General features: G+C 52.4%; 1 protein-coding gene across 34 annotated transcripts in view, besides 8 other annotated features; it reads left to right on the top strand.

The window, feature by feature from the left end:
- HEMK1 (HemK methyltransferase 1, mitochondrial release factors N(5)-glutamine) overlaps positions 1-15,937 on the top strand; it is a 26,987-nt gene extending 11,050 nt beyond the window's left edge. For 17 of the 34 annotated variants that reach the window (NM_001317851.2, XM_047448287.1, XM_047448285.1 and 14 more), the window contains one exon: positions 152-15,937. In NM_001317851.2, coding sequence (NP_001304780.1) covers positions 152-188 — 37 coding nt within the window. In that variant the 3' untranslated portion in view covers positions 189-15,937. The remainder of the gene's footprint in view (positions 1-151) is intronic. The other 17 variants (XM_011533808.1, XM_047448281.1, XM_011533807.2 and 14 more) reach the window with 7 other exon arrangements.
- Positions 1,563-2,064: an enhancer, noted in NCBI's record as "H3K4me1 hESC enhancer chr3:50619223-50619724 (GRCh37/hg19 assembly coordinates)". NCBI's record gives its function as "activates a minimal SCP1, AML or CMV promoter by ChIP-STARR-seq in primed H9 embryonic stem cells {active_cell/tissue: H9 hESC(primed)}" and the evidence as "EXISTENCE:reporter gene assay evidence [ECO:0000049][PMID:30033119]".
- Positions 2,065-2,564: an enhancer, noted in NCBI's record as "H3K4me1 hESC enhancer chr3:50619725-50620224 (GRCh37/hg19 assembly coordinates)". NCBI's record gives its function as "activates a minimal SCP1, AML or CMV promoter by ChIP-STARR-seq in primed H9 embryonic stem cells {active_cell/tissue: H9 hESC(primed)}" and the evidence as "EXISTENCE:reporter gene assay evidence [ECO:0000049][PMID:30033119]".
- Positions 3,921-4,439: an enhancer, noted in NCBI's record as "H3K27ac-H3K4me1 hESC enhancer chr3:50621581-50622099 (GRCh37/hg19 assembly coordinates)". NCBI's record gives its function as "activates a minimal SCP1, AML or CMV promoter by ChIP-STARR-seq in naive H9 embryonic stem cells {active_cell/tissue: H9 hESC(naive)}" and the evidence as "EXISTENCE:reporter gene assay evidence [ECO:0000049][PMID:30033119]".
- Positions 10,229-10,348: an enhancer, noted in NCBI's record as "active region_19908". NCBI's record gives its function as "activates an Ori minimal core promoter by ATAC-STARR-seq in GM12878 lymphoblastoid cells {active_cell/tissue: GM12878}" and the evidence as "EXISTENCE:reporter gene assay evidence [ECO:0000049][PMID:35858748]".
- Positions 10,359-10,418: an enhancer, noted in NCBI's record as "active region_19909". NCBI's record gives its function as "activates an Ori minimal core promoter by ATAC-STARR-seq in GM12878 lymphoblastoid cells {active_cell/tissue: GM12878}" and the evidence as "EXISTENCE:reporter gene assay evidence [ECO:0000049][PMID:35858748]".
- Positions 10,489-10,578: an enhancer, noted in NCBI's record as "active region_19910". NCBI's record gives its function as "activates an Ori minimal core promoter by ATAC-STARR-seq in GM12878 lymphoblastoid cells {active_cell/tissue: GM12878}" and the evidence as "EXISTENCE:reporter gene assay evidence [ECO:0000049][PMID:35858748]".
- Positions 10,599-10,708: an enhancer, noted in NCBI's record as "active region_19911". NCBI's record gives its function as "activates an Ori minimal core promoter by ATAC-STARR-seq in GM12878 lymphoblastoid cells {active_cell/tissue: GM12878}" and the evidence as "EXISTENCE:reporter gene assay evidence [ECO:0000049][PMID:35858748]".
- Positions 18,818-22,498: an enhancer, noted in NCBI's record as "VISTA enhancer hs1747". NCBI's record gives its function as "enhancer in: heart[7/12]" and the evidence as "EXISTENCE:transgenic organism evidence [ECO:0001131][PMID:17130149]".

Below are 22,540 nucleotides of genomic sequence, written 5' to 3' on the forward strand. Positions count from 1 at the left end.
GTAAGATCCTAGCCCCCTTTAGCCCTGTAGCATGCTGGTCTTTCCACTGGGGCCATCCTCAGCCCTGGCTGTCAGGAGAGTGTGCTGTTCCCACTTCCTGTTCATTCCCTGAGGCCCAGGTGGTAACCAGCCCCTGTCCCTGTCTCCTCAGGCCCCGGTTCCTGCATATCCGGAGGTCTGGGCCATAGCATGGCTGCCCTGTGGATGCCTTGTCAGTGCCGCCAGCCTGACCAGAGGGGAGGTGGATGGCACTTTCCAGAGCCCAGGTTCTTATGGCATTTCCCAGGGTTCTGTGATTTCCCCATGCTCTGCATTTCTAGGATATTTCTAGGACACCTGGATTGGCTCCATCACATCAGAGTGGCTGAGGGCAGTTGCTCTGTGTTGGTGAAATTGCTGTGGGGGTATCGGGGGATATGGCCAGTAAAGTATTGAGAGACTAACAAATGGTGACCTAATGTTTTGTCCATGACTTGCAGGTCCCCTGACCCCCTTACTCCCAGGTAGCACTGGGGCAAGGGTTTCCTTCTGCCCCAGCAGGGCTGGCCGTCAGTCCCCTGCTTGGTAGTGGTGTGGGGGTGCAGTGTGGAGGAAGGCACGTGAGTCCTCACTCCTGGCCTTGGATACCATGGGTCCTGGCATAGAGCAGCTCACTCCCAGGGATTGATTAGTCCTCCACTGCCCTGGGTGCATGCGTACACAATTCCCTGGCCAAGCCTGGCTCGAGCACAGGAAGCTCATCTGCGTTTTGGCTCAAGGATGACTGCCTGCTTTCTGGAGGGGAGGGTCTGGAGGTCTTTGCTGCACAGTTCCTGGGTCGCACATCCACGTTCATTTAACTGAAGGCTTGAGCCAGTGAGGGGTGTTTCCTTTTTATCCCCATAGCTTTTAGCTAAAACATCCCTCCCGAGTTGACCCCCTGGGGTTTCAAATAACCCATGTGTCCCTGGTTGGGGCTGGGGAGAGTGAGAAGCTGAGATACTGGGCACAGGGTTGTGGCCTCCACCCCAGCTCTGGTCTGTGCAGACTCATGGCCACCAGGAGGCCTGCAGATCCAGCCTTCCTGTCAACAGCGACAGGAAATCTCTAGGTTGGTGAGTGCTGGTGATGTGAGCCTACATCAGGGTGGGTCCTAAGAAACATGGCAAACCAGGCTGTCTCATTCCACTAGACTGCCCCCTGCCACCCTGGCACTTCCCAGGGCCTGGCAGTATGGTCTGATGGGCAGTATGGTCCAATAGGCAGCATCCTCTGCTGCAGCTGGGAGAGCTGAGTTCCAGGGCTGTGTCCTGCAGTGGGACCTTGGGCAACTCCTTTCCCTATGAGAAGCTGGCTCTTCTGAGTCCAGGGCCAACGCCAACTGGCAACCTCTTTACTCTTAGTCAAGTGGAATGTGCATGCTGGCATCTGAATGTCCATTCGCCAGGCATGGAGAGCAAGAGAAGGTATGTACTGCCTGAGGTCACATGACAGTGACCAAGTGGAGACAGTAAGTTAGATCCCTCCCTTTGGGGAGCCTATATTGCTGGAGTCATACCCAGCCTAAGTGTTGCCCTGCACTATGGCTGGAGGACACATTTGGTAGAGGTCACACTGCAGCTCCCAGTGCCCCAGTGTCCTGCCCTGTGCCCAGCCCCAGCTGCATGGACTCTGAGCTGCCCCTGGCTTCCTTTAAGGAGGCTGCTCCAGAAGGAACCTGGGTGGGGAGGGCGAAGGGGGTGCACAACCAGGGCAAGGCTCCCCACTTCCTTAGTCCCCCATGCTCACAGACCTTTGCCTGCTAAGGTCCTCACCAGTATTGCCCTTTCTGTCTTTCTCCTTGTGCCCTTTGGCTCTTGCTGTCTTCAGCAGCATCTCAGGGTAGCTGCCCTGACCTCGGAGCAGTCTGTCGCCCCCCTACACCTCAGCCAGTCCTGGCTTCCCTGATGGTCTCTCCCTCCTGGCCTCAGGCCCATTCCTGAGGAAGGGCCTTGGCGAGCTTGTGGATGTTGCACCAGAAGAGAGTGCAGTGTTGGAGAGTGACACTGTCGGGGCAGCTGGGGCCACAAGCAGGAGCCGGCCTCGGGCACAACTTTCTGCCCAGAAAAATGTGCAGCTTGACTCTGCTGAGGAAAAGGTCCAAGCCAAGAGGACTGGCAGGCGGGGCCTCAAGCCTGCAGCCACTGGCTTGATTGGGCCCTGGACGTTGAGCCCAGATGTTGGAGCCACACCAGCCTGGATTTCAATCCCAGAATCTGCCCCTCACGAGGATGTGACCTTGGGCAGATGACTTCACCTCACTCAGCCTTGGCTTCTAAGGCTGAGAAATGGGACTTAATGCTTTATTTTATAGGATGCATGTGAGGAGCCCATGGGATGTGCCTGGCTTGGCACATTGTGGCATTTTTCCTTGCCTTCCTCGGAGGGCAGACACAGGGAGGAAGGACCCAGTGCCCTCAGGCGTCCATCTGATGCATGGGACCAACATAAGGCAGGCAGGGATACAAGGCAGTCTGGAAAGAAGGGAAGGCAGGAGTTTCAGTCTTGGGCTCTTGACTCCTCACTGTTGTCTAGAGATGGAGCCAGCAGGCTGGTAGCCTGGCAGCCTACATCTCCCCTCAGCCTCTCCTCACTATGGCCCCAGTGCCTTGAGGCCCAGGCCAGGGCAGCCAGTGGCTCTAGCTCAGGGAAAGCCAGGCCCACCTGCCCTATCCCCTCCCTTGCTCCTGAGGCCAAAGCCAGAGACTCGAACAGCCTCCCCACCACCACCAGCATATGTCAAGGAGCACTTGCAGGCAGAATGGGAGGAGGACATGGAGCTGATGGAGTCCAGGCTGTGCAAGCCCCTGAGGTCTTGAGAGATGTGCCCACTGCCCGTGCAGCCTCCTTCAGCCAGAGCCCAGAGCATAGACAGGAGTGTAGGAGTCCCTGTTTGATGTACTCTGGGAGAGTAATTCTATCTCCTCTTCTGATAGTTGGGGAAACTGAGGCCTTGTCTCACAGTTGGATGCTTTTCCCAGTTGTCAGTGGGTTTCTCCATGGGTCTCATACAGCTGCCTTATTGAAATAGGCCCCGAACCCCCTAAATGCAAAAAATACTCTTTTTTGCTCCTTTACCCCCACCTGGACCCTGGGCTATTGGCTGCTCCCAATCCTTGCCCCAAACACTTAGCTGGCTCCCCATGACTTAAGTGTGTTCTCTTGTGTCCTATGGAATCCAGTTCTGAAGAGGTGGGGGAGGACAACTGTGGGAAAAGCCCTGGGGGCCCCTCCCAAGGCCCCATCAGTGCTCTGAGTAGGCTGTCATCAGAACAAAGGGCTCCACTGCTGACAAGGTTTGAGAACTGCTGGCTTGAGGTGAGAACCCCTTTAACCTCTGCGGGACAGCATGTCTTTCCCTATCCACCTTCGATTCTTTTCTCTTTTTTTTCTTCATTGGCTCCTTCTTAGTGGATTCTCTTCTCTACTGCCCTGGGCTTCAGCCTTTGTGCAGTACTCTCGATGCCCTGAACACACACCTTCCCTTTGCCCAGGCGGTGCAAACAATCCACTTCTTCAAGCTCCAACACAAATGCTGCCTCCTTTAGGATGCCTGCTCTGTGCTCTCCCTGCCTCCCCTAGCCCATACCTCTGCTGGCACCTTCTGTACCATGCCTTCAGAAACCTTCTTATCCCCCTCATCTCTGGGGCCCCCTGTGGATCTGGCATACCCAAGTTCAGTAAATGTCTATCAGTAAGCTGATGGTACATGCATTTTCTAGAATAGAGCTGGGACTTCCCATGTGGCCCACATCTGACCTGGCAGCCCATGTATTCCGGTCATTAGGGATGGGAAGCCATGAGGACCTGGCCTTCTGCCCGACCCAGGCAGCCATTCAAGTTGAGCAATGGCCACTTCGAAGACTCAAGTGCACCTGATCCCTGCGCAACAGCCACACCAGGAGAACAGGCTGTCCTTGGCGGCAGTAGGAGCAGGCGCCAGGTTTCCTGGAGCTCTTGGCTTCAGCCAGCCCCCAGCCAGAGTCCTGGCTAGGACAGTGACCTGATCTCCTCCTCATGACCTTCTGCCCTGGACAAGCCCCCTGAACTGGATTTGGGACTGTCAAAGCAACTCTACCCCTGCTCTGGTAGGCTGAACAGTGACCCCCCAAAATGGCAGTGTCTTAATCACCTAAACCTTAACATGTGACTATATTACCTTCACATAGCAAAATGGACTTTGCAGATGTGATTAAGGATCTTGAGATGGAAGGAGTATCCTGGATTTTTCAGGTAAACTGAGTATAATCACAAGGGCCTCTGTAAAGGAGGCAGGAGTGTCAGAGTGACGGAAGAAAATGTATGTAACAATGGAAGCAGAGGTCAGAGTGATGCAATTGCTGGAGGAAGAGCCATGAGCCGAGGAATGCAGACAGCCTCTTCTCCTCTGGGGCCTCAAGAAGAATGCAGTCCTGCCAATACCTTGATTTTAAGCCCTGTGAAACTGATTTCAGATTGCTGACCTCCAGAACAGTAAGATCATAAATTTGTGTTGTTTTCACATGTGTGAAAACACATGTGTGATAATTTGTTACAGCAGCCACGGGAAACGAATATAGATTGTGGTGCCCAAATTAGAGTGCTGCTGTAACACACGCCTACTGATTGAAGTGGCTTTGGAATTGCAACGTGGAAATGGGCAGAGGCTGGAAGAATTTTGAGAGTCATGATAAATTGCCTTAACCACCTCTCTTCTGATAGGTGATGTGGCCAGGGGAACTCTTCCTCAACCTTCAGACCTAAACTGCCCAGGCCCCCCCTTTTTTTACTCATATTTGGAGAGAGGTGGCCCTTTCCCAGAGTGAGAAGACTGAAAGACTGACCAGCATGGGTCCCAGAAGGGAGTGGGTGAGGAATGGGACTGGGATGTGGGGAGAAAGTGCAAGGCTGGCCTCCATGGCCCATCTCCAGAGACTGGGTCCAGAGAGGACCTCAGAGACTGGGACCAAGCCTGTTCCTGCTCTCCTGTGGAGTTATGTGACTGGCCCAGGACCCCTTGGGTGTGTGAGGATGAGCAGGGGCCCTGTACTCTCTGGGTTGCAGGTACTGCATCTGTGAAATGAGCACAGCAGCCCCTGACTTTGAGCTAATGGGCCTGGCCCCTCCATGTAAGCCATAGGCCTGAGCAGAGCTGTGTCACCATTCTGTTCCTATGGTGGAGTGGGGCTATCCCTGGGGTTCTCAACCTCCTGGTTCCTAAAACTGAATTGGCCAACTGGTGCCCTCAGCCCTGTCCCTGTCCAAGCTGGGACTAGGACCTCCCTTTCCAGGGGTACTAAAGGACTCTGGAGACACCATCCCACCCAGCCAAGGCTTGGGGCTCCTGAAGCCAGTCCTAACCCAGGAGCCACATGGAGAGCTACTGGGAGGCCAGACATGGGCCTCATGCTGGGTTTCAGAGCTGAGAAGCTGGGGGACAGAGAGCATGGACACCTGGGTTCAAGGGTCAGCTTGGCCCCAAATCACCTGGATACGCTTTGGATGAAGCCAGGAGGGCCTGTTTATACTGGAAGGGGTGGATCATGGCAAGACTTATATTCAATCCCTGATCTTTTTTCCCAGAGAGGGATGGGGCTTACTTGAAGTAACACAGCACTTGACTCCTGACTCCCAGTATGATGCTCTCATCTCCTATTGCTTCCAAAGGCCTGGGGTTAGTTAATTAAGTCAATTAGGTGGTGCTCATATGGCTGTCCATGTAGCTACTAAACCCAGGGATTCTGGCCCATAAAGCCCTCTGGGCCAGGTTTATGGGCAGGTAAGAGTCACATTAGGCCAACTGTAGCCCTGGGTGTGCAGACAGATCTGAGTCCCATCTGAAGCTCTGGTAGCTGTGGGAGGAGAGCAGGATTTCCCCCGCTTGCGGAATGAGTGGGTGCCTTCCCCTCTGAGGTAATTGGCTGTACAGCCCCCAGCCTCTGCCCCCCAGGGCCCTCCTGAGGTGTCTGGAAGGACCTTTGGGATCTTTGGCCTCATAACCAGAAATCAGAAGCTTCAAATTCTAGAGGCCCCTTTTCTTCCAAAGACTACCTCTCACACATACAGCAGTCCTGCAGGAAAATGGTCAGGAAAGGCTAATTTTACAGCTCACAAAGTGGGAAAGGCAGGGAAGCCTACCTCAGCTTCATGGAAAGCCCTGAACTGGGCTGACCTCCACCTGCCCCAGCTATGCCTAAAGGGGGAGGGTGAGACAGCTTAGAGTAGCCATGCCCCGTGGCAGGCAGGCCTGGCTAAGTGGCCCCCTTCCCAGGGGCTGGGGTCTTCCCCAAACACTCTACCTCTCAGAGCAGAGGATGTCACCTTATTGCTCCCTCTTGTACTAGGTCTGCGGCCCTCTTCTGGGGCATGTGGCTGGGGAAATGGTGGGATCAGATATCCCCTACTGAGCCCAGGGAGCAGATTGTTGGTGCCTGAAGCGCTCACAGAGATCCCTGTGGTACAGATGAGGAAACTGAGGCTTAGCAGGACAGGAGCAGGGCTGGGGCACGAGCCAGGTCTCTTCTCTGGCTCACAGCTGCCAGTCCTTCCTTTGCCACCTGAAGACCCCCCACCCCACCTGGCTTTCCAGGAACAGGCCTGCCTGCCTGGAGAGGCGTCCAAGTCCCTCTGCTGTTCCTGGAAGTCAGTGTGAGGCTGAGCTACGTGACCAAGCAAAGCAAACTAGGACTACAGGTGTGAACAACCCTGCCTGGCTAATTTTTAATTTTTTTTTTTTTTTAGAAACGGGGTCTTGCTATGTTGCCAGGGCTGGCACATGGGGTTTTTAGTTGTCCCCACATTACAAAGTTGAGGACACCAAGGCTCAGCAGGGTGCAGTTGCAGGTCAGGTTGCATAGCTGGACAGGAAGGGAGGATGAGGCTGCCATTGGTGTCCATTTGACTATCAGAGACGCTGAGGCCAGCATAACTAGGTCCTGGGCTGTCCCCTGCAGAGCTTAGCGCAGAAGTTACCTGGGCTTGTGGACCCTTGGAGCAGGAGCAAGGGTTTCCAGGGCTGTCCCTAGAGGGCTTTCTAGAAGACCTGCAGCTGCTCCTGGGTGCATCTCCTGAGGTATAGGGCCAGGGCCTCAGTCTCTCAAGACCTACTTTGTGTCAGGCACCAGGGAGATGATACCAAGTGGAGGGTCCTATAGAATATGGTGCATCCTGCGCCAAGTACTTCCAGGATTATCTTACTCAACCTTCATGACATCCTCAGAGATGGAGGCTGTGAACCCTCTCGTTATACTGACGAAGAAACAAACTGGGGCTAAGAAACTTGCTCATAGGCTGGCTGAGCTGTGATTCTGGCATAGGCTGAGTGACCTGGAGCTGGAGGCCTTAGTCATCACACCAGGCTTGAGGAGGGGCGGATAGGACAGGAATATACCAGGCAGTAGGGACAGTCTGGACAAAAGCCTGGAGTTCTGCAGACATGCGGGTAGGGATATGTAGGGGTGAGGTGGTGCCGAGAGGTCCCCTTGGCTGAGCTCTGAATGCATTTCTGGGGACCAGGGGCCTAAAGAGCTTTTTGAGCTGAGTTACAGGGTTAGAGAAGCATTGAGGCTGCTCTTTCTGGCTGCCAGGAAAAAGGGGCTGGGGCAGGAGGCTGCAACTTGTCCAGGGTCTGGAGGTGGCTGGGGTCTGTAGCAGTGGCATCAGATATTCTGGAACAGAACTGACTCACAACCATTGCTGAGGGTTTGGATGTGAGATGGCCAGGACCACAGTGGGCCCAGGGATCTGATTGGGACCTGGGGGAAATGGGGCCACCCTGAGTTGGAGACTGGGGTGCTGGGGGGAACAGTCGGGGAGCTTGACAGTGTAGGATGCCTTCAGAATATCCGAGAAGCAGCATTGGGGCGTCTGGAGATGCAAATGTGACCATGTGGGGACACAGTCCAAAGGCAACCCTTGAGGTAGAGTTGTGAAGACCACTCTCCTAGACCTGAGTGCTGGCGACAACAGTACCGGGCATCTGCAGTGTGTAAACTAGTGCCAGGTGCTGCACACACGTGGTCATAAATCCATCTGTTGGCACATCAGGGATCCCTTCCTTGGCCCACTGTATGGATGAAGGGACTGAGGCTTAACATGCCCAAGGTCACACAGCCAGCAGCTGGCCATGCTGGAGTTTGAACCTAGTCCTCTGACATCCCAGTCAGGAGAGGCGTGAGCAGGCTGCCGAGGCCAAATGCAGCCCAGGGCCTCAACCCCCCAGAGGGGCCTCAGGAGCCAGTTAGGTGCCCCACAGCCAACGTGGGCTCCAGGGTGAAGGGGAAAGTGATGAATCAAACAGAAAGCAGCAGACGCAGACTGAGCTCTCTCCCTGTCGGCCCGGGTGCCAGATTTTCACGCCCACAGCAAAGGGGCCAGGCAGAGCGCTAGGTGTGGGGCAGGAGAGGGCAGCGAAAGTGGCTGCCACTGAACCCAGACTCTGATGTACTCCGGATATGGGTGGCGTGGACTGACAGACACCCAGCCCAGTTCCAGACTGAAAGTTGAGTCTGTCTCAGCATGTGAGGATATGAAGTTTGCCTTGTCATGGGGAGCATTTCAGGTCCCTAGGCCTGTGAGGTTCTGGGATGAGGCACCAGATGGATGTGTCTAAAAACCCTTGTTGAAGGCACTCCACAGCTCAATAACTGACCATTGCTCACTACTCTCTTGGCCCGCACTGAAAGCCACTGTTTCTTCATCATTTCACTCAGCCCGCCTGTCTCAGCCCCCCAGAACTTTGGAGCTCATTCTTTCAAAGTACATTTCATGTGCAACTGAAATACATATTTTTAAAAAGATAAAATGAGCATCTAGTTAGCAAAAATGTATTTTGCAAGTGCAAATTCTTTCTTAGCATACAGTCCATCAGGGCGAAGAGCAATGAACACAAATGTTTGAACTGGGGGCTGGGATGGTAGTTGTAGTCTTATGTTGGTCTCAATGTCCATTTTCTTTCAGTGTTTGATTTTGGTAGCACAGGACAAAGTGACCGCTGATTCTCACAGATAATTGTTTACAAATGCTAGCACTGTGTCTGAAGCCCACCTTGCAGTCTCTTTGATTGACAGGGACAGCAAGAGAAGCCTTATCTCAAGCTCAGCACAAACCCTGTTCTCTGAGCACATAGGAAGGATTCTAATGTGTCATAATTTGGTGCTGTGCCCATTTGAGTCTGTGTGTGGTTTTTAAAATTGGGTTTTTTTTTTTTCAATAATTAAAAATATGAGCTGGGCATGGTGGCACATGCCTGTGGTCCCACCTACTCGGGAGGCTGAGGCAGGAGGATTACTTGAGCACAAGAGTTTAAGACAGCAGTGAGCTATAATAGCGCCACTGCACTCCAGCCTGGACATCAGAGTCAGACCCTGTCTCTAAAAAAATAATTTTAGGCCGGGCGCGGTGGCTCACGCCTGTAATCCCAGCACTCTGGGAGGCTGAGGCAGGCAGATCACCTGAGGTCAGGAGTTCGAGGCCAGCTTGGCCAACATGGTGAAAATCCGTCTGTACTAAAAATACAAAAATTAGCCGGGTGTGGTGGCTCACGCCTGTAATCCCAGCTACTTGAGAGGCTGAGGCAGGAGAATCGCTTGAAACCGAGAGGCAGATGTTGCAGTGAGCCAAGATCACGCCATTGTACTCCCACCCAGGCAACAAGAGCAAAACTCTGTCTCAAAAATAATAATAATAGGCCAGGCGCAGTAGCTCACGTTTGTAATCCCAGCACTTTGGGAGGCCAAGGATCACAAGGTTAGGAGTTCAAGACCAGCCTGGCCAACACAGTGAAACCCCGTCTACTAAAAATACAAAAATTAGCTGGGTGTGGTGGTGGACACCTGTAATCCCAGCTACTCGGGAGGCTGAAGCAGGAGAATTGCTTGAACCCGGGAGGCAGAGATTGCAGTGAGCCAAGATCATGCCACTGCACTCCAGCCTGGGCGACAGAGCTAGACTCCATCTCAAAAAAAAAAATTTAAAAATAATAATTTTAAAAAAATGTTTTAAAAATGAAAGAAAAGGAAGAAGGGAGGAGGAAGCCAGAAAGAAAGGGGCCGTGCAGGGTGGCTCACACTTGTAATCCCAGCACTTTGGGAGGCTGAAGCAGGCAGATCACCCGAGCTCAGGAGTTCAAGACCAGCCTGGCCAACATGGTGAAACCCTGTCTCTACTAAAAATACAAAAATTAGCTGGGCATGGTGGCTCATGCCTGTAATTCCAGCTACTCGGGAGGCTGAGGCAGGAGAATCGCTTGAACCCGGAAGGCGGAGGTTGCAGTGAGCTGAGATCACCTCACTACCCTCTAGCGTGGGCGACAGCAAGACTGTTTCAAAAAAAAAAAAGAGGAAGAGTGAAAGGATGGACGAAAGGAACTCCTGTGGGGTGGGGCATCTGGGGCACTTGATGCCCCACGTGACCATTCCCTTCCCGGAGGTCTGCCCCAACTGCTCCAGCCCCCATAGCCTGAGGCTCCCGGCACCTCCCACCCAGCATCTGTCACAGCAAATCAATCTGGGCCACATGCTCCTGAAAGGTCCTTGGGAGCCCCACCAGGCTCCAGTGTGGTTGCCCCAAGTACTCCATGAGTAGACATGGGCTAGGGACTTACCCAGGCCCTTGGTGGTGCCTCCAAGGGTGGAAAGACTGGGGGACCCTGTGCCCCTGAAAGCCCAGAGTTTCACTGTTTCTGGGTACCTTCATTTCTGGGAACTAACTGTGCTTTGGAAAGAGAGAAATGAGAAGCAAAACCCTAGGGCCCCAGTATCACCCCTCCTTTCTGTCTTCCTTCCGCTTAGTCACAGCCAAGAGCTCAGTACCTCAGCCTCCCTTAGGGCCACTAGGTGGGGCAGAATACAAGGTCAGGCGAGGACACAGCATCTGGGACGAGTCCTTTCCTGCCAACAGCCTCCGTGAGGGGTCCTAGGATTGCTGAGGGCTGAGACCACCTTCCCAAAGTTGGGGAAGGGGTAACTGAGGCTGTCATCTGGCCTGTCTCACCTGTCTTACCTGCAGGCCCATCATTCCTGCACAGTCATTTATTAGGCACCAACTGTAAGCCAGGCCCAGGAGGTTGGATGGTTCAGGTGGGGCCCTGGCCTTGCAGAACTCATGGACTTGCACATAGACTCCTCCTGACAGGCCCCTCATGAGTAGCTGGGTCCTTACGATTTTTCTGGTCAGCAGTGGGGAGCCGTGGGAGGCATTAGGCTCTGGGGAAGCCAAGCAACATCACATGTACACAGCATAGAGACTCACACACCCTTGCACAGGCACCCACACGTACGTGTATGTTCATGGGCGTGGGCCTTGAGCACCGGGTCCCGTGAGCCACTGCACCTGGCCAACTGGGTCCATGTCCATAATCATAGGTGTCCACGCAGGGCCTCCCTTGGATGGGGGAGCTCCAGGCTCTGGAAACCAAGCCAGGGTTGCATGCATGCACGTGTGTGTGTGTGTGTGTGTGTGTGTGTGTGTGTTTGTGTGTGTGTGGTGTTACTCTGCCTCAGAGGCCCAACCACTGCCTCCAAGTCATGGGAGCGCAGAGCCCATGTAAGCTCAAACACTGCCCCATGTCATAGAAAAGAGGGCCAAAGATGGGGCTGGGCGTGGTGGCTCACTCCTGTAATCCTAGCACTTTGGGAGGCTGAGTCGGGTGGATCACGAGGTCAGGAGATCGAGACCATCCTGACTAACACGGTGAAACCCTGTCTCTACTAAAAATACAAAAAAATTAGCTGGGCGTAGTGGCGGGTGCCTATAATCCCAGCTACTCAGGAGGCTGAGGCAGGAGAATGGCCTGAACCCGGGAGGCGGAGCTTGCCGTGAGCGGAGATTGCACCACTGCACTCCAGCCTGGACGACAGAGTGAGACTCCGCATCAGAAAAAAAAAAAAAAGAAAGAAAAGAGAGCCAAAGCTCAGAGAGGGCCCATGACTTGCCCAGTGTCACACAGCAAGGTGAGGCAGGTCTGGGAGGGAAATGAACCAGACCTTATCCACATCCCTGACCTTTTTGGCTTCATGCTTGGAGCTTGGCACCCCCTGAGAACCACACTCCGTTGACCTCTGGGAAATGGAGGCTGGTGATTCTCCCAGCAAACCCGCCTGGGAACTAACCACAGGCTCCTCCCAGCTTTCACTAACCAACCCCAGGATTTCCAATACCGGTGCTTTGCTTAGCTGTACTGGGCACCTGGAACTCATTCTCCCTGCCACCCTCCCTCCCTGATTCCTTGAATAAAATTCAGCCTTCCAAATTTTACTCAAATGCTTCTACTTTCTCTGACCCTCTGGAACTTTCCCCTGTTGCCAGCCTCCCTCCAGCATCTGTCCCCTCATTCCCACCTCCTGTTTACTTCCCTACAAAAGCCAAAAATTGACCCCTAGAGCCTGAGACTCTGGATGGAGGATCTTCGTAGCTGGGGCCACACCCAGGCCAGCCCAGCCCTTCAGACTCTGCCAGTCACAGTGGGGTGGGCCCTGGAGCTGGAAGAGGAAACAGAGCCTCTGCCAGAGTCACCACCTGCCCCCAACCCTACTTCTCCTCCGAAGGCCCAACAAGGTCCTGTGCGCCCTCCAAGGGCAGAGGAGGCTGCTGGCTGTGGCTGTGGGAGGAGACCTGGAGCACTGTGCCCGAGGCAAAGCTGGCCCCGTGGAGTTTGCTATTCCAGCTTTTATTTACTCCTCTGTACCCTGAGCACCATCAACTGGGTGCCAGGCCTGTGCCTATATTTGGCAGGGTGAGGGGTGGGGGCCAGACAAATTGTAGAGGAGCCTCAGGTCTTTGGGGTGTTGCCCCTCCACTACATGGCCCCAGACCAAGTTCTCTGCCAGTTTGCAGAGCTCTTCCCTTCCACTTGGTCTTGAGGAGGGGCCAGAGAGGCTGCCTTTACCCCATGAGCTCTGAACCCTCTCACTATCTGGCTGTCCCCTCATTCTCTCACCACCCACTCCCACTCCCGATGGGAGCCTCAGGCCTGGCTTAGGAACCCTGCCCACAGCTGTACTAATGCCCTTGGCTTTGCTATAGGGAAAGAACACAGCCACTCCACACTCTGGGACAGCCAGCTTGCGTCCATCCCCTAGTGCAGAGGGCTAGTTTAGGGAAGGACATTAGGACCCTGACTGTGCACCTGACTCAGGGGCCCCGGAGAAGATTTGGTGGGCTAAGGGTGGGCAGGAGAATACAACTCACAGCCAAGCGGAAGGTGGCTTTCAGCTCCCCCCTTCTCATTTTTTCTTACTGTGGCTGCACCAGGGCTGTGCCCCTCATGGAAGGTTCACTTTCCTGCTTATCTAGTCTCAGATGTTACAGTTTTTCTTGTTATGTATTATACAGAGAGATGGCCTAACTGGTTCTTGCTGCTGCATGGGCAAGCCATTAATTTACAGGGGTTTATCTTATAACTGGACACCTTTTTGTTTTCTCTTACAAGATGTGCTTGTTGTTGCTTCTCTTGGATTTTCTACATTGACATTTTACCACTGAAAATAATGACAATGACAAATTTGTCTTTTCCTTTCTTTCTTTTTTTTTTTTTTGAGACAAAGTGCCACTCTGTTGCCCAGACTGGAGTGCAGTGGCGCGATCTCCCAGGTTCAAGCGATTCTCTTGGCTCAGCCTCCCGAGTAGCTGGGATTACAGGCGTCCACCACCATGCCAGGCTAATTTTTTTTTTGTATTTTCAGTAGAGACGGGGTTTTGCCATGTTGGCCAGGCTGGTCTCGAACTCCTGACCTCAAGTGATCTGCCACCTCGGCCTCCCAAAATGCTGGGATTACAGGCCTGAGCCACCACACCCGGCCTGTCTTTTCCTTTTTAATACTTATGGCTCTTATTTATTTTCCTTGTTTAATAGCTTGGCTGAGACCTTCAATACAATATTGAAAAACTGTAACGACTAGAGCATTTGTATATTGTTTCTCACTTGGGGTGCCTCTGGTCCCTCCCTGTCAAGTGCACTTGCTATTGATTTTGGATAGATGGCCCTTTTCTACTTAAAAATGGTTCAGTCTAGTTCTGGCTGACTCTGATTTTTTGTTTATTTTAGAGGCTTTTTTTTTCATCTTTCATTCATGCAACAGACCTTCAGTGAGCTGATTGCCAGGACTACACTGTCATACTGTGGTACCAAAGAAAAATTGACACGGTCCCTACTCATAAGGAGTTCATGGCCTGGTGGAGGATACAGGCAGGCAAATAGATCCTTATCCTTAGGCCATGGGGCATGCATTCAGTCACCATCTGCTGGCACTGTGCCAGGCACAAGGAATGGGCACTATTCAGGCAGGCCCCCATCACAGTCTGGTGGGGTCCAAGCAGTTCACATCCCCTCTCACTCAAGTTCCCACAGAGTAGTTGCAATGGTGAGCTGAGGTTTTCTCTGCTGCAGAGGCCAGGTGGGTAAGTAACCAAAAGTGCCTGAGAGCTAATCCCCTGGAGCAGCCTGAAACCAAGGAAGACAGAGAGTTGGTAGACACATGCCCAGCTCCCTCACCCCTTGGGTGGGACAACCGTGGCTTGTGTTTTCTGCCAGCTCCCAACTGAAGACTGAGCCTCAGTTGCCTACAGAAGGAACCCACTCATAAACCCACCTACCTCCTTTGGCTTCCTTTCCTTCCCTGTCTCACCCCCTCTCCCATTTTATATCAATAAGTGTGAAGGCTGAGATTTTATCCGACTTTCTTTTTTTTTTTTTGAGACAGAGTCTCATTCTGTTGCCAGGCTGGAGTGCAGTGGCGTGATCTTGGCTTACTGCAACCTCTGCCTCCCAGGTTCAAACGATTCTCCTGCCTCAGGCTCCCGAGTACTGGGACTACAGGTGCGCACCACCACACCCAGCTATTTTGTATTTTTAGTAGAAACAGGGTTTCACCATGTTGGCCAGGATGGTCTCAATCTCTTGACCTCATGGTCTGCCCACCTCGGCCTCCCAAAGTGCTGGGATTACAGGAGTGAGCCACCGCGCCCGGCTTATCCGACTTTGAAGCAAACAAGTTAGTCTATCATAGTCTATCATATTCTCAAGGATCATGGCAGAAGGCACAGAACTCTGGGTTCAGAAACAGACAACAGATTATTGTTTACAGTAACGGCAGTAGACAGAGTAAAAGCATTTTCTTGCACCACTTCCCTGAACCGCAGTTCCTACAGAGTGATGTGATGATGGCCCGGTGATGCCTGCATATGCATTGGGTTGCACTACGGTGGAGAAACTGCATGCTGAATTTAGGGGACCCACGTCTTTTATAATAAGCTGCAAGCAAACCTGCCCAGGTGGGAGATGTTATCTTTAGTATACGGGACAATAAAATCTGCCTTTTGCTCTGGAGGGAGATACTACCTCTATCTTCTAAGGTTACTCACTATAATAATCACCCTTGTAAAGATTATTTAGAACAAGGGCAACCAGTGCCTCTACTGGCAAGTGTGCAGAAATAGGAGAGAACCATGGGGAATTGTCTCTCAATACCTTACTGGTGCTTCTTGGCATTACTTCCCAAATAATCTATTTGCATTTGGATGCTTGTCTCAGAGTGGTTTCTGCAGGAAAAAACCCAAGATAGAGAGACAACACTATATAGGCATCGATGTATTTCTGGGGTGACTCTCTTTCCTCCAGACCTCTCCTGCAAACAACGCAGGGGAGCCACGCAAAGGAAGAGGTTTCCACACCTGGGATTGATACTGCTGGGACTCCAGGGCAGGTGCTCTAAAGGACTCTTAGAATTTCATTTTTAATGTTTAATATTTGGTCCATCTAGAATTTATGGTGGAAGGTGTGAGGTAGACGTTGCACTTTTTTTTCCTTCCAAATTGCTCCAATATCACTTACTGGAAATTGTGCTTTGTCTGTTACCACTCTCTTCTAATCTGCCTGTGGCCTGTTCCTTAGAGTGTATCACAAACATACAAGTGATCAATTTCCAATAAATTGATTAAAGAATTCATGTGCATTCCCATTTTGTCAAACCACTGATTTGACACTCAGTGCTGATGCAGTGTGAGACAAACCCAAACACCCACTGTCATGATAGCACCGTTCAGGTTCTAGGGCAATGCATGGAGGTTGTGCTTTTGCTAACTGCAGAGCAAACACTACTTCAGCCTTCACAGAGAATTTAACTGTGAATAGTGAAGATTTCTTTTCTTCTCTCTGTTTCTTTTTGAGAAGAGTTTTGCTCTGTCACCCAGGCTGGAGTGTAGTGGCACAATCATGGCTCACTGCAGCCTCGAAATCCTGGGCTTAAGTGATCCTTTGGCCTCAGCCTCCCAAGTAGCTGAACTACAGACATGCACTGCCATGTGTGGCTAATTTTTAAAATATTTTTTGTAGAGAAAGGGTCTCACTATGTTGCCCAGATTGGTCTCAAACTCATGGACTCAAGCGATCCTCCCACTTTGGCCTCCCAAAGTGCTGGGATTACAAGTGTGAGCCACCACACTCTGCTAAGATTTCTTTTCATAAAAACATTTAGCAATATTTAATAACAATTTCAAAAAGTTAAGTAAAATTTTAGTTTTAAATCTTAATTTAAATTTTAATACAAGTATAACTTATAGTTTGTTTTGCCTCAATTTTACTAAGTGATTTTGATTATTTTAAAAATAACTTTTTAGGCTGGGTGTGGTGGCTAACGCCTGTAATCTCAGCACTTTGGGAGGCTGAAATGGGTGGATCGCTTGAGCTCAGGAGTTCAAGACCAGCCTGAGCAATGTGGTGAAACCCTATCTCTATAAAAAATACAAAAATTAGCCAGGTGTGCTGGTGGGTGCCTGTCGTCCCAGCTACTTGGGGAGGCCGAGGTGGGAGGATCCCTTGAGCCCAGGAGTTTGAGGTGTCACTGAGCTATGATCACACCACTGCGCTCTAGCCTGGGTGACACAGCAAGACCCCCCCGCCAAAAAAAATAATTAAAATTAAGGCCAGGCACAGTGGCTTACATCTGAAGTCCCAGCGCATTGAGAAGCTGAGGCAGGAGAATCCCTTGAGCCCAGGAGTTTGAGAGTAGCCTGGGAAACATGGCAAAACTCCATCTGTACAAAAAATACAAAAAAATTAGTGGAGTGTGGTGGCACACATCTGTAGTACCAGCTACTTGGGAGGCTAAGGTGGGAGGATCACTTAAGCCCAGGAGGTCAAGGCTACAGAGAGCCAAGATTACACCACTGCACTTCAGCCTGGGCAAAAGAGTGAGACCCTGTCTCAAAAAATAATAATAATAATTAAATTAATTTTAAAATAACAATAACTTTTTGGACTATATCATCTTTTGAAATTTTGACATATCTCATTTAATTTAACATATTTTTGTGTTCTTTGAATGTAATATTTTATTTCATTATTTAATTAATTAATTTATTTTTTTGAGATGGAGTTTCACTCTTGTCACCCAGGCTGGAGTGCAATGGTGTGGATCTCGGCTCACTGCAACCTCTGCCTCCTGGGTTCAAGAAATTCTCCTGCCTCAGCCTCCCAAGTAGCTGGGATTACAGGTGTGTGCCACCATGCCTGGCTAATTTTTGTATTTTTAGTAGAGATGAGGTTTCACCATGTTGGCCAGGCTGGTCTTGAACTCCTGACCTCAGGTGATCCACCTGCCTTGGCCTCCCAAAGTGCTGGGATTACAGGTGTGAGCCACCACACCTGGCCAATATTTTATTTTAGTCTTTTTAAAAATTATTATTTTTTTTATAGACAGGGTCTTGCTCTGTTGCCCAGTCTGGAGTACAGTAGTATAGTCATAGCTTACTGTAAACTTGAACTCCTGCCTCAAGCAATCCTGTCACTTTGGTTTCTCAAAGCTCTGGGATTACATGTGTGAGCCACCATGCCCAGCCTTATTTTAATCTTTTTAATCATTACTATGAAAAGAACAGTAATAGTGTAGAAGTCTTGACTGTAACAACATAATCAATCATTTTACTAGACTAAAGACGAGGAGAATCAATGTTACAGAATAAATACAGAATATCTTAGGCATCAGGCAAGTCTTCATTCTCTCACTTAAACCTCAGGTCACTGAACACCTGGACATGAGTGATAATTACTAAGTTTCATCATTTTGGATATCTGCTGACTTTCAGATATATAAAAACTGTAGATTTACAGATGTTTTTACTCCTATGAAAGCTTATTTGTTCAGTAGGAGGATAGAACACATTTCATTAGCAGCTTGATTTATGGTTGTTTAATATTTAGATTCTGGTATGTGAGCCTCCACTTGTCCTTTTGCCTGGAGCACTGCAAACATCAAGGCCTATGCTCCAGTGTGCCCACAGGTACTTCTTGCTGCAATAGAGACCAGAGAAAGAGCTCTTCTGGGGCTCATGTCTCCATGGGCTCATGGTGAAGTGGGAGCTGGAGGGGTGAGTTGGGATCCAGGGGAAGACTCCGAGGAGAAACAAAAATCACCAAGTCTACACATTTCCTCCTTACAACGATTCCATAAGGCAAGTGATAACATTGTCCCCAAAGTAGAGGTGGAGGCCCGGTGCAGTGGCTCACGCCTGTAATCCCAGTGCTTTGGGAGGCCGAGGGAGGAGAATTGCTTGAGCCCAGGAGTTCAGACCAGCCTGGGCAACATGGTGAAACTAGATCTGTACAAAAAATTAGTGGGGTGTGGTGGCACACACCTGTAGTCTCAGCTACTTGGGAGACTGAGGTGGGAGGATCGCTTGAGCTCAGGAGGTAGAGGCTGCAGTGAGCCGAGATTGTGCCACTGGACTCCAGCCTGGGCAACAGGGTGAGACCCTGTCTCAAAACCAAACCAAACCAAACACCAAAAACAGAGTGGGAAACTGAGGCTCAGAGTGGGTTCATGACTTGCTCAAGTCACGATGCAGGATACCTAGCTCTAGAACCACCTGCAGCAGGGCACCGGTGTCCCCTGCAAACCCATAGCTCTTTTCACTCAGGTCACGTGGGTCCCAGGTCAACTTCATCCACAGCAGGTTCTTTCCAGCCACAGCCAGCCTGACCTGGGTGCAGGCATCAAGGCCTCTAAGTGACAGAGAATGCAGCACTCCCACCCACTGCCAGCTGCCCCAGGTAGCTTCTGAGAACTGGCCACTGCAGAGTACAAGCACAGCAATGACCTGTGTCCTTGGGCTGCCCCACTGCCCTCCTACAGGGGAGGGAGGACCTCTCTGCCATAGCCCCACCTCACAGCTGCCACCCACCCACTGGGTCCTAGCCCTTCTTAACGCCAGCATTGTCCCCATCTTCTCTGTGACATTGGGGTGGATGGGTAGCACGCTTGGCGCTGTGCTCAGTGAGGGCCAAGGAGTGACCTGAGGGTGGGAGGAGAGAGGCAAGTTCTTGCCGACACCCCGTCCAGCCTTGGCCAGGGGAGGTTCTCCATTCTGAAGGTAAAGGGGTCATGAGTGGTTAAAAGGTTGTCCTAGTGCCTCCCAGCTATGTGACCCTGACCTGCTCACTCAGCACCCTCAGCCATACTTCCAGGCCCCTGCTCTAACAATGCTGCTCCTGGGATCCTGTGATGGGAACACTCATGGCCATTCCCTTGAAATGTGGCCAGACTTCAACCCAGTCCCAGACAGTTGTCAGTGCCCACTCACTGCAGCCTCTCCTCTGCATTCTCCAGGCTATTTTCCAAAAGGCCAGATGCATGTCCTGGGTGGCTTGATGCTGAAGCTGGGGCCTGGGCCCCCTGCTGTGGGACAGGGAAGTGTGGGTGAGACAAGGCTGTCCTGAAGGAGTGACTAGAGCCAGAGGCTGCCCACCAGCAAAGGGGGCTCAGTGAGCAGGGCCTGGCACTGCTGACCCCACCTTGTTTTCCCTCCTACTCTCCCTTGGTGCTTCACACCCCCGGCTGCTCACTGGCCTAGGCAGGACACTCCTGTCTAACCTCCTGCTTTCACTGTGGACCCACACCCACACGCTGCCTCCATAGGTACACATGCCCTTTTTTTCTCTACTAACACCTGTTTCTCGTCGTCCACTCTGCCAGGCTGGACACCGGGCACTTCAGAGGTCATGCCAGATCCAGCACCGGGATGGAGGAGTCTAAGGAGGCACCTGCAGTCAGGGAGGGCTTCCTGGAGGCAGAGACCGAAGCTAAGGGCTCAGTACCCTCTCCCCCCACTTACCCCAGGTCACTGGCTGTCCTCTGAGCCTCACTCCCTGGAAGGGCCAGCAGGTTCCAGGAAGTGTCCCCTCGCCCTGCAGTGCTGGTTCCAAGAACTGCAGCTCTTGGCAGCATTTGCTTAGGATCCTTTCCTAGAACTTGAGACCTGCTCTGCCCAGACTGCTGGGGTCTCAGAGGGCAGCCAGTGGGGGTAGTGGGGGAAGGGGGTGCACTGGGAGGTGCCTCTGCAGGTAGAACATTCCATGGACCAAACATTGGGAGGTGGGCCTAGGCTGTCAGCCGGGAGTGGTTGGCCACACTAGGGTGGTCAACACCTCCAACAGGAGGTCGGTGAAATGCAGGTGCTTTGACTGCAGTCAACCATGGGGTGCGGGCCCATGAGTTCTCCCTGCACAAGAAGGAGGCTCATTCCCTTGGTCCAGAACTTCCACCAGCTTGCCACATGCCACCCTCCACCCCCCGACTCTACTCCCCCCACTAGCCTGGCACCAGGGTCCCATCCCATAGAGAATCAGCACAGGCCTTACCCTCAGAATAGGCCCTCATCAGATAACCTCCAGAGGACAGGCCAGGGTGCAGGACAGGCAGGTTCTGAGCAGGGAAGGGGGATGGGATCGTCTTGGGGCCCTTGGAAGGCCATGACACTTGTGTTATTAATCCTGTTATAATTTTACCTTTCCTGGTTAGAACTGAATAAATTACCCCACCTCACACCCCCCAGCAAAGTTGGGTCGGGTGAATGAGGGACAGGCCCTGGTAAGTGGTCAAGGACAGGGCCCTACTTCCCTCAAGGTCACCAGGCCTCCCCCTGGGGCGTGTCCTCCACCCGCCACTTCTGAGCTGGCACCAGGCCTGCCCAGCCGCCTGGGACCTGCCAGATCACGTTGAGCAACCAGTTCCTGAGAAGCGTTGAAGGCAGTGTGGTTTAAAATTAACTCCCCCGCTCCCCCTCCCGCCTGCGGCCTCCTCTGAGTTCTTGGAAGCGGCGCTCTGCTCTTCCTGGGAAGAGGCCTCCAGCCCCAGCTGCTGCAATTCTGGCGAAAACACCTCACCCAGGCTGGGGGTGGGGGGTGCCCACGCCAGGCCTTCTCTGCCCTACACAAGGCCCAGGGATCCTCTGGAAGCTAGCACCCACCCTAGTTACTCACTGAGACCCAGAAGAGAAAGGGGGTGATTGTCAAGGTGCTGGGAGGAGGTGCTCCTGCCCCCAAAGCCCACAGCTCCCAACCAGGCACCTCTGGGTAGGAGAGAAAGTGAATTGATCCCACAACAGCAAACCCAGGACCCTGGCCTACTTTGAGCCATATATGTCCTGGCGAGATGCAGCAACTTCCTAGGGCCACCCAGCTTTGCCTGCCCTTATAAGCTCAGCTTGCCCACTAGGTGCCAGGCTGATGGTGCTGATCTGGCAAGGATGCCCGGGAGCACGCCCCCGCAGGCATGCACACACCTGGGTTAACAGTGATCTCTGCCAGGATCTCTCCTTTTCTCTCACCCACACCCCTCAAACTGCCCTTGGAACACCTCTCCTCCTGGTTAAGCCTCATTTTCTCATGTCTCGTGGGCTCCGTGTCCCTGGGGCTTTGGGGGAAATGTTTCCTGAGAACCTACTCTCCCAGCAGCTCCTCCTCCCACAGCCATCCACTGGAAGGAGCTGAGAAAAACAAAGGAATGTTGGCCAAGTGGAAAGGTCAGCACAAGCATGCGTGCGCGCGTGCGCGCGCACACACACACACACACACACACACACACACACACACACACACACACACACACACACACAAGTGATGTCACTGATGTGGGGCTGGTGGGGGTGGGAGCAGTGAAGTGCTTCCTGGGAGGAGGCTGAGGGCTGAGAGGCACTTTGAAGAACAGAGCTTTGGCCCAGTCTGGACTATGAGTGCAATCCCCACCTCTGGTGGAGGAGCCCAGCTCTGGTGACAGGAAGGGCCCCATCTGGCTCATGGGTGCTGGGTGTGGGGAGAGTCCCTGGAGCAGGACTCTGCCTGAGGAGCATTTGCTGGATACCACCCTCCCCACCAGGCATGTCATCAGGGCATCATCGGTGCCAGCGCAAGCATCTCACTAGTAGGGTCTGTGTGGGTGAGACAGTCCTGGAGGGCTGCCTGGAGGAGTCATGGCAATCCTAGGTTCCCATAGCCCTCAGAGGCCCTGCCTGTTTTAATGAGGCCCGGGCCATGGAAGCAACTCTCTTTCCACTGAGCAGGAAGCTTTGACCACATCAGAAAAGCTCCCCTTCCCTGGGCCTGCTGTGTCTCCTCCTGCTCAGAGATGAGCATCGGTTTCCATTCACTCCCCATTCCCCAGCATCCAGGCCCAGCCACTCTCCAACCACTCTGAGGTCTGCATTCTGACCAAAATCAAACCTCCAGGGACCTCCTCTAGCTTGAGTCTCAGACGTGGGAACTCCAGCCTGC

Source organism: Homo sapiens, chromosome 3, assembly GCF_000001405.40.
Source record: "Homo sapiens chromosome 3, GRCh38.p14 Primary Assembly".
Lineage (NCBI taxonomy): Eukaryota > Metazoa > Chordata > Mammalia > Primates > Hominidae > Homo > Homo sapiens.